At 40.0% G+C, this 9,908-nt stretch overlaps 1 protein-coding gene across 7 annotated transcripts in view; it reads right to left on the reverse strand.

Annotated features, from left to right (window-relative positions):
* The window catches only part of HELQ (helicase, POLQ like), a 48,538-nt gene that overhangs the window by 37,817 nt on the left and 813 nt on the right, over window positions 1-9,908 (reverse strand). For 3 of the 7 annotated variants that reach the window (NM_001297757.2, NM_133636.5, NM_001297756.2), the window contains exons 2-5: window positions 8,069-8,783; window positions 3,621-3,799; window positions 1,673-1,873; window positions 852-924 (exon numbers count right to left, since the gene is read on the reverse strand). Coding sequence is in view for 4 of the 7 variants with exons in the window: in NM_133636.5 (NP_598375.3) it covers window positions 852-924; window positions 1,673-1,873; window positions 3,621-3,799; window positions 8,069-8,783 (1,168 nt within the window). In the remaining 3 variants the exon portion in view is untranslated. 7 annotated transcript variants of the gene reach the window in all.

Raw genomic sequence — 9,908 nt, forward strand, 5'->3', positions numbered from 1 at the left:
GAAGGAAATGAGTTTGGCTCAGACTAAGCCTTAGTTAGGCTTAGCTGTTCAGAGAATATTCAAATAGGGATGCCCTAAAATACAGGCTTGATGAAAGCAGGGACTATTTTATTCACTGCTGTATCCCTAGCACTTAAAATAGTGCCTAGCACACAGTAGGTGATCAATATTTTTTTGAATGAACAATTATAAAATGCTATAACCTGCTTAAATATTATTGCTGTTGAAATTTTTTAAATACTTTTTAAGATTTGACCTTTATAGTTAATTTTTCCATATATAAGGTAAATATTGCAATAGCATATCAATAGTAGGTTATGACATTTAGAATAAATTTTTCATAAACTTTAAAGACTACCTGATGCTGCAAAATAGCTCCTTAAACTGACCTATTTAAATGTATCGCTTTACAATATTATTATTATAATATTTATGTTATATGTATTATTATGGTGATGATGATGATGGCCACAGTAGCAGCAGCAAACCCTTACTGAATGCAGTGTGCTAAGCACTGCTGAATGCAATACATGTGTTAACTCACACTATCCTTACAACAATCCCATCAGGCTGGTACCATTATTATCCTTGTTTTACAGATAAAGAAACATAGAGGTTGAGGGATGTGCCTGGGCACACATAGCTAGTAAGTGGCGGATAATAATAGAGGACTTCTTCAAATACCAATTTCATTTACCTTCAAAATTCTATTCATTAGAAATTTTAAAACAAAGGCAAAAAGCTTAAGTATCTTGCTTTAGGTTACATACTGTAGCTAGTGATAGAATTAAGTATTTTATAAGTCTCTTGATTATAAATCAATTCATGACCTCATTTGAAAAAATACTTACTGCTAGTGTAGAGGATTTTTGCTAGGGTCATTTCCAGTGTAGCTCCACGGCTTCCTTCACCAATCATGTGCAACTTCGAGATTTTTTTTAAAAAGGACAGAGAAGTAAATCTTCATATAGTGCTCATATAAAACATGCATATATTCATATGAAATTTGTTTGTAAAGAGTTGCTTATAACTTTTAAGTATTTTGAATATAACAACTATAATACATGTATATTATTTCACTGGTATTTAGGTTAATGAGCTTTTGGTACAAAATCCTTATAAATCTGGGATTCATAAGTACTACTAAAAAAATTTTTTTTTTAAACGGAGTTTGGCTCTTGACCCCCAGGCTGGAGTGCAATGGCGTGATCCTAGCTCACTGCAACCTCCACCTCCTGGGTTACAGCGATTCTCCTGCCTCAGCCTCCCGAGTGGCTGGGATTACAGGCGCCCACCACCACGCCCGGCTAATTTTTGTATTTTTAGTAGAGACAGGGTTTCACCTGTTGGCCAGGCTGGTCTTGAACTCCTAACATCAAGTGATTCACCTGCCTCGGCCTCCCAAAGTGCTAGGATTACAGGCATGAGCCACCACGCCCAGCCAATAAAATTGTATACTACACACATACGTGTTCACACTTCAAGAAACACTTGACACAAAACCAAATTTAAGATTATCAAGCATAGAATGTCTTCACCTATATTGTCTATATTTTCAAATAAATTTATTTTTATAGAGGTACTAAGGTACTAAGTAGATCCACACAATAACCAGAATAATAAATATTTAGTATAATAAAAATATTGACAAATTACAAAAGTATTAACCAACCTCGTCTACAACAACCAGACCCAGACTGTCAATTCTTCCAGTTTCAATCAAGGAGTTCACCAAGCTATGTCCTTTTTCAATAGTGGCAATATAGAGTGATTTCTTTTCCCTTCTTTTAGTTGGAGGAAATCTTCCTTTGCTTCCAGCATATTCTTCAACAAAGAAACCGAGTTCTATACCAAAACTTGACAAACCTGAAATCTAGAATATTAGTTAAAATAAAGAAAAATTGGCCAGGCATTGTGGCCAATGCCTGTAATCCCAGTACCTTGGGAGGCTGAGGCGGGAAGATCACTTGAGCCCAGGAAGGTGAGACCAGCCTGGGCAACACAGTGAGACCTCATCTCTATAAAAAATAAAAAATTCGCTGGCTGTGGTGGCACAGGCCTGTAGTCTCAGCTACTTGGGAAGCTGAGGTGGGAGGACTGCCTGAGTCCAGAGAATTGAGGCTGCAGTAAGCCTTGGTCATGCCACTGCACTCCAGCCTGGGCGACAGAGCAAGACCCTGACTCAAAAATAAATAAATAAACAAAACCAAAAAACACAAGTAAAAAACCCCCCATTAGGTGCTCATGGGGTTCAAAAAAGCTAAAGTAGTGTTTAATACCCATCAACAGGAACAAGGTCACAGGCAAGACATACGTAAGAAATGCTGTAATGTCTCGATCTTTGCAAAATAAATGCAACTTCTAAAATACATGTGAAAATAAATTTCAACTGGCGCCTTTGATACCAAAAAGCATCAGGGGTGTGTTGGCTCATGCCTGTAATCTCAGCATTTTAGGAGGCTGAGGCAGGTGGATCACTTGAGGACAGGCGTTTGAGATCAGCCTGGCCAACATGGCGAGACATCATCTCTACCAAAAATAAAAAAATTAGCCGGGCGTGGTGGCGTGTGCTTGCGATTCTGGCTGCTGGGTGGGGTCGTGGGGCATGAGAATTACTTGAGTCTGGGAGGTGGGGGTTGCAGTGAGCTGAGATCATGCCACTGCACTCCAGCCTGGGTGATAGAGCAAGACTGTCTCAAAAAAAAAAAAAAAAGCATCAGAATAACTCATTTTAGTAATAGTTTCTGCTTGAAAAAGCAAGGTAAGGCCGGGCACAGTGGCTCACACCTGTAATCCCAGCACTTTGGGGGGCCGAGGTGGGAGGATCACTTTAGGTCAGAAGTTCGAGACCAGCCTGTCCAACATGATGAAAACCCATCTCTACTAAAAATACAAAAATTAGCCAGGCATGGTGGCACACACCTGCAATCCTAGCTACTTGGGAAGCTGAGGCAGGAGAATCACTTGAACCCAAGAGGCGGAGGTTGCAGTGAGCAGAGATTGTGCCACTGCACTCCAGCCTGGGCGACAGAGGGAGACTACATCTCAAAAAAGAAAAAGCAGGGTAAATAGTAATAGAACATTTAAGATGATGTTTAATCCACCAGTTTAGAAAAAGTAAAACTTTCAACAACTGGTAATTAGTATTTGAAGATATTTTAGGTAGTGTATACTGCTTTTATACATTCTAAAAATATTAATTCTCCATCATTAAGAGGTACTTCTCACCAGGCGCAGTGGCTCATGCCTGTAATACCAGCACTTTGGGAGGCTGAGGCGGGTGGATCACTGGAGATCAGGAGTTTGAGACCAGCCTGGCCAATATGGTGAAACCCCGCCTCTACTAAAAACACAAAAATTGGCTGGGTATGGTGGCATGGGCCTGTAATCCCAGCTACTCAGGAGGCTGAGGCAGGAGAATCGCTTGAACCTGGGAGGCGGAGGTTGCAGTGAGCCAAGATGGTGCCACTGCACTCCAACCTGGGTGACAGAGCAAGACTCCATCTCAAAAAAAAAAAAAAAGAGGTACTTCTCAACAATACAAAGTTATCACATTTACAGATCTTAACGTCAAAGTACTAGCAAATAACATTTGTTTTAAAACATACACACACACACACCTTTTCTTGGACAATTGCCACATATGGAAGAATCATTAAAACATCTTTCCGACAGCAAAGCAGTTCTTGCAGCATTAAAATCTCAGCCACGAGGGTTTTTCCACCACTTGTTGGCAAGGAATATATTAAATTTTTTCTTTCTTGCACAGAATTCAATGTTAAACAAGTATGTTGCCATTCTGTGGAATTAAAAAAAAAAAGGCATTATTTTCCCCTTCCAAACTTTGAAACTCAAAAGTTTTCTAAGAAAAAAAATCAAATCCCTTCCTGTGGAGCAATCCTCTCATAAGGATAAATTTAATTATAACCAATGTTACATGTCAAAAATCCCAAATGTGCAAGTAGTACAGCCAGTGAGAGCCTAGTTCAGGCCTAGGCAGCAAGGTGGGCAACCAGCCCATTTATTCACCAGCTGCAGACTTGGGTCCAATATTACAGCAGGGCAGGTAGCAGCCTCGTGGACAAGGAGTGCCATCTGAGATATCAGAGGAACAAAGGGACAGTACAAGGACCTGTGTGAATTCGAATGTCTTCCTCTTATGTTCTGCAAGGAGATTATATAAGCTTCCCTTCCTCATTCAGCCAAAAGCCATCTCAGAGAGAAGCAGGGGAAGGAGGGAAACAAATCTATTAGGTTTTACACAAACTAATAAAAACTTTAACTAGCTCTCATGGAGACCTGAACTTCGAATGGGTCCAAAACCATTTTAAACTGTTAAAACTCTTTAAACCACAAAAGACTAGGATTATTAACTGACACGCCTAGGATTCCCACAATTTGGCAAGGCGGGATTCATGAAAATAGATCAGATCCAAGATACCGTGTGAAAACTAGTATTAATTACTCTGTAGGATAATCTGACAATAAAAATCATCAGAAGTCTTTAAAAATGTGCTTCAGTGTTTTATCACTAGAAAAATGGGCAAAAAATTTAAGACATTTCACAGCAGACGGCAAATGGCCAATAAATACATGGCCAATAAGCAGCAGAAATGCAAATGGCCAATAAATACATGAGAAGATGCTCAGCTGTTCTCTACTGGGTTGGCAAAATAAATTTTTAAAATAAAAAACAAATAACTATCAAAAAAAAAAAAAGCCCCACACATGCAAAATCCAGAGCTGACTAATGTGGGGAAAAACAGCCATTTTCATGTACGGTTGTGAGAACATAAACTGCTAGAATCCTTGTGGAAAGTAACCTAGTATAAAATAGAACTGCACATTGCCTTTGATCTGGTAGTATTACTTTTGGGATTCTACATCTATAGAACGGAAGCCAAAGCATATAAAACACAGCATTGTTTGTAGGTAACAAAGTGCCATGGTGGTGGGGGTAAAGGCCGAATGAATTATTGTACAATCAACCAATGAGATTCTTTGCAGTTTAAAAATGAAGAATAGATGGATCTATGTATGTTCAATATACAGTTAAGTTTAAAAAAAAAAAAAAAAAAAAAAAAAAAAAAAAGCAGATCATTGCCCCGGAGTGGTGGATCATGTCTGTAATCCCAGCACTTTGGGAGCCTAAGGCAAGAGGATCACTTGAGACCAGGATTTCAAGATGAGCCCATCTCTATTAAAAAAAAAAAAGAAAGTTATATCTGAATGACAGTTACAAGTAACTTTAACTTATTGTGCTTTTGGGTGATTCCCAAATACTACAAGTGACTGTGAATATTTTCTTTAAAAATATTTCAAAAATACTTAAATTTAATATTCAATAAATATTGAAAAATACTTCAGATTGGTATCACCCGAGTTATCAAATTAGATGTTTATGCCAAAGTATAACTTAACCATAGCCACATTTTATCCAATTCAGATTTTTAAGCATAACATGACAAAATAACTAATATTTATGAATACAATCTTCACATCAAAAAAAAAAAAAAAAACTAGCCGGGTACAATGGCTCATATCTGTAATTCCAACCCTTTGGGAGGCTGAGACAGCAGGACTGCTTAAGCCCAGGAGTTCAGGACCAGCCTAGGCAACAAAATGAGACCCTATCTCTACAAAATATAAAAAAATTAGCTGGGTATGGTGGCGCATGCCTATAGTCCCCACGACTTGGGAGGCTGAAGTGGGAGGATTGCTTGAGCCTGGGAGGTTGACGCTGTAGTGAGCCACGATCACAGATTGCCAGGTCGTATTCCTAGAGGTTCTGACGCAGTAGGTCTAGGGAAGTGTCTGAGAACATGCACTTCAACAAATTTCCAGGTGATGTTGATGCTGCAGTCCAGGAACCACACTTGAGAACCACCGCTTTAGCTTAATAAAAAGTAGCACATGCATTTATGCTTTAATCTGGTCATGTTATTAAGCCAGATTTAGAGGTAAAAAGATTTAAAAAGTTGTTATTTACTGAAGTTCTTACTTAGAAGCTACCAATGTAATTACTGACAATCATTACCAACATCTAATTTGGCATGTCCTTAACACAGACTCTAACTTGCAAAAAAAAATTATCCCTTTTTATAGATGAGGAACTAGGCCCAAAGTGCTAAGGTTGCATTTTTAAGTGACAATCCCCAGCAGTTGAGAACCTACCAGAGTATACCAGGCACAGTGCTAGTTAAGAAAAAGATGAGTTAGGCCGGGCTCGGTGGCTCACGCCTGTAATCCCAGCACTTTGGGAGGCTGAGGCAGGCGGATCACAAGGTCAGGAGATCGAGACCATCCTGGCTAACACGGTGAAACCTTGTCTCTACTAAAAATACAAAAAAAAAATTAGCCGGGCGTGGTGGCGGGCGCCTGTAGTCCCAGCTACTGGGGAGTCTGATGCAGGAAAATGGCGCGAACCCAGGAGGCGGAGCTTGCAGTGAGCTGAGATGCGCCACTGCACTCCAGCCTGGGCAACACGCGAGACTCCGTCTCAAAAAAAAACAAAAAAACAAAAACAAAAACAAAAAGATGAGTTAGATAGAGCCTTGTCCTCAGGATATTCATTCTGGCAGACTAAACAAAAAGCAAGGTGCTAGCAGAAAAACAGAGGGAAGAACAGAGGGAAGAAAGTTAACGTCTACTTCCAGGGCAACACACACCATTAGCTCTTAAGTCATGAACCTCACAATTTGGATTCTTGTAGAGTCTTTTATTAGACTTTGTTTCCTGTAGTTCTGCTTCTCCAACCTGATTGTCTTCTCTGCAAGAACCCAAGTTTTCATATCATTCATAAGATCCTAACAGGAGTTCCAGAAAACTTACGAAGTGGAAGGTTGATGGGGCTGACCCTCCAGTATGGCAGCAACTGTCCCTTCTTGGTCTAAAATGACACATATCTGAAATATATGCAAGGACCCTGGATTTTTGAAAAACATTACAAGATACCTTCTTAATATTATTGCTTCTTTGCACTTAAAACAAGTTTGTCCAACCCACGGCCCTCATGAGGCCCAGAATGGCTTTGAATGTGGCCCAACACAAATTTGTAAACTTTCTTAAAACATTATGAGATTTTTTTTTTTGCAATTTTTTTTCTTGGCTCATCAGCTATCGTGTTACTGTATTTTATTGTGGCTCAAGACAATACTTTTTCCAAAGTGGCCCAAGGAAGCCAAAAGATTGGACATCCCTGACTTAAAACTTAATTGCAGCTGTCTTTAAAGATGTCTAGCTTTGGGAAAGGCAGCACAAGGCAGAGCATCTGGGTGGTGGCAGGGATGCACCCGTGGGGAGAGGTAGCTGCGGCTGCTGGTGTGGGGGGAAAGATGTTTGGTTTAATCAACAGTATTACTAATAACTGACTTCTTTCACTCAAGACATGTGAGTGTCAAAGACATACCACAACAGCTAGGTTTTGGTAGAGAAGACAGAGCCAGCCAAGGAAATACAACTAAGAAAGCTGAGGATCTCTACTAGACAATCGGGGTCAAAAAACAGGAGTGGTTGTAAGGACATCCAGAAACAAGAATTTCAAGAAGGGTGTAGTCAATAGCATCAGGTAAGTTATTGAGAAGTCAGGTAAGGTAAACATTAAAAGTAACACTGTGTTTAGACGTCTCAGTCATCAGATCTTAAGTGAGAGAATGAGAGCACAGAACCCAGAATTAGAGTGGGGTAATTTACTAAAGTTCTTACTTAGAAGCTACCAATATAATTATTGAAAATCATTACCAACATTGAATTTGGCATGTCTTTGAACCAGAATCTGACTTGCTAACAACTTATTATCCCTTTCTTATAGATGAGGAATTAGAGGAATTATGTCAGGTAAGGAAACAGACAGAAAGGATAACTGGTTTGATAAGTGTGACTGTGAGGGAAGGAAAGAGGTTCAGTGGTAGCAGGACAGGTAGGAATGGAAGGGGCTGAGAGATCACTGATCTTTTGTTTTCAAAATGAGAAACAGTATGGACCATGAAAGCATTTGCTTCTATTTACTTGCACTAATATTATGGTAATGATAGGAAAAAAATTTTTTTATTCCAGCAAAAAGCATTACCATATAATTTTTCAATTCCCTTGAATTGGGCATAAAGGTCTCTCACTTTGCTGGGTAATGAATAAAAAGGACCAAGGTCATTTGATGATGACTCAACTGTTTTCTTAGCAACATTAATTTCCTCAGATAGGAGAGTGTCTTTGAGCTGTTTACTTCTAGAAAATATTGGTGTCTGGGCCTTCGCATTTCCAGTCATGGCATTTTTTAGATGATCTTTAATACTTTTTCTCCTGTTCATATCTGAACTAGTTCTGACTTTGGAAGAGGACTCATCATTTTGCTGGGGTTGCTCTATGCAATTATGGGGCAGTTCCTCATTCACAGTGTTGTGAGAGGATGACTTCCAATCCCTTTCTTTCATAGAATGATCACCCAAATCATTTGAAGAGTTCTGCAAATTTTCAAAGTATATAGCCTGTGAGGAAGGTACATCATACAAAAGATCAGCTCCAGGTTCAATAGTGACACCTTCATATCCACTCTGGTTCTCTGTGTGCTTATCAGTTTGTAATTCAGTAAGGTTGCCTATGGTAGTAATGCTGAGTTTGTTTTTGATACTTTCCGAGCAAAGATTTTCAGTGGCAAAGTCTGTAGCATGTTTCTTATGTTCAGGGAGTTGCATATATTTTTGTTCCAGGTCGTCAACTTGAGCTATAAAGGAGTTTTCAGTAAAGCTATCATAGTCACCAAACATGTCCACTTCACTGTCATTAGGCTGCAAAGAGAACAAAAACGCTTATGGTCAATTCCAGTTTCATTAAGAATAAAAGCTTCACCAGCCTGGCCAACATGGTCAAACCCCGTGTCTACAGAAAATACAAAAATTAGCCGGGCATAGTGGCATGCTCCTGTAATCCCAGCTACTCGGAGGCTCAGGCAGGAGAATTGCTTGAACCTGGGAAGCGCAGGTTGCGGTAAGCCCAGATCGCGCCATTGCACTCCAACCTGGGCAACAGAGTGGGACTCTGTCTCAAAAAAACCAAAACAAACAAACAAACAAAACCCCCAAAAAACACTTCAGCCTAGGGCTGTACCAAGTATATAATTATATGGTCACATATGGATCACAGACCTATATGTAAATAGATATCTTACAGCTGAAGAAATGGAGGCCCAAAGAGGTTAAATTACTTGCCTAAACAGCAGGTTCAGGAGTGTTACGATGATACTGAGATTCTAATTTTTGAGACAGGGTCTGGCTCTGTCACCCAGGCTGGAGCACAGTGGCTCCAGCCACTGCACGATCACAGCTCACTGCAGTCTTGACATCCTGGGCTCAAGCGATCCTCCTGCCTCAGCCTCCCAAGTAGCTAGGACTACAGGTGCAGGCCACCACACCCGGCTAATTAAGAAAAAAAAATTTTTTTTTTTTTTTGTAGAGACTGGGTCTCTGTTGCCTAGGCTGGTTTTGAACGCGAACTTCTGGGCTTAAGTGATCCTCCCATCTCTGCCTCCTAAAGCACTGGGATTATAGGCATGAGCCACTGCACACGGCCAGATTGTAATTCTTAAAGCTGTACTAAAACAGCAGGAAGACTGGTAGACGTCTACTGAAATGTCAGCGCATTCGAAGTTTCTGATAACTGCAGCGCTTCCCTCCCAGACTACAATCTACAGTGACTGGCCTCTAACAGAAACATGGTTGTACCACTAGACACTCCAAGGAGTTCCTAGGAATTTGGAATTGAGACTGAGAAACTGAATACTGACTTGGAGTGGTCTGCTACACAGAAGACACACAAACCTGGAGGCAGCAATATAGTAAAGTGATTAAGACAACAGGATTTGGAGCAAGAACTGTACTATCTCAACTTTTCAGGGCCTGATTACTGTCGTAAAA

This window comes from Homo sapiens, chromosome 4, assembly GCF_000001405.40.
Source record: "Homo sapiens chromosome 4, GRCh38.p14 Primary Assembly".
Lineage (NCBI taxonomy): Eukaryota > Metazoa > Chordata > Mammalia > Primates > Hominidae > Homo > Homo sapiens.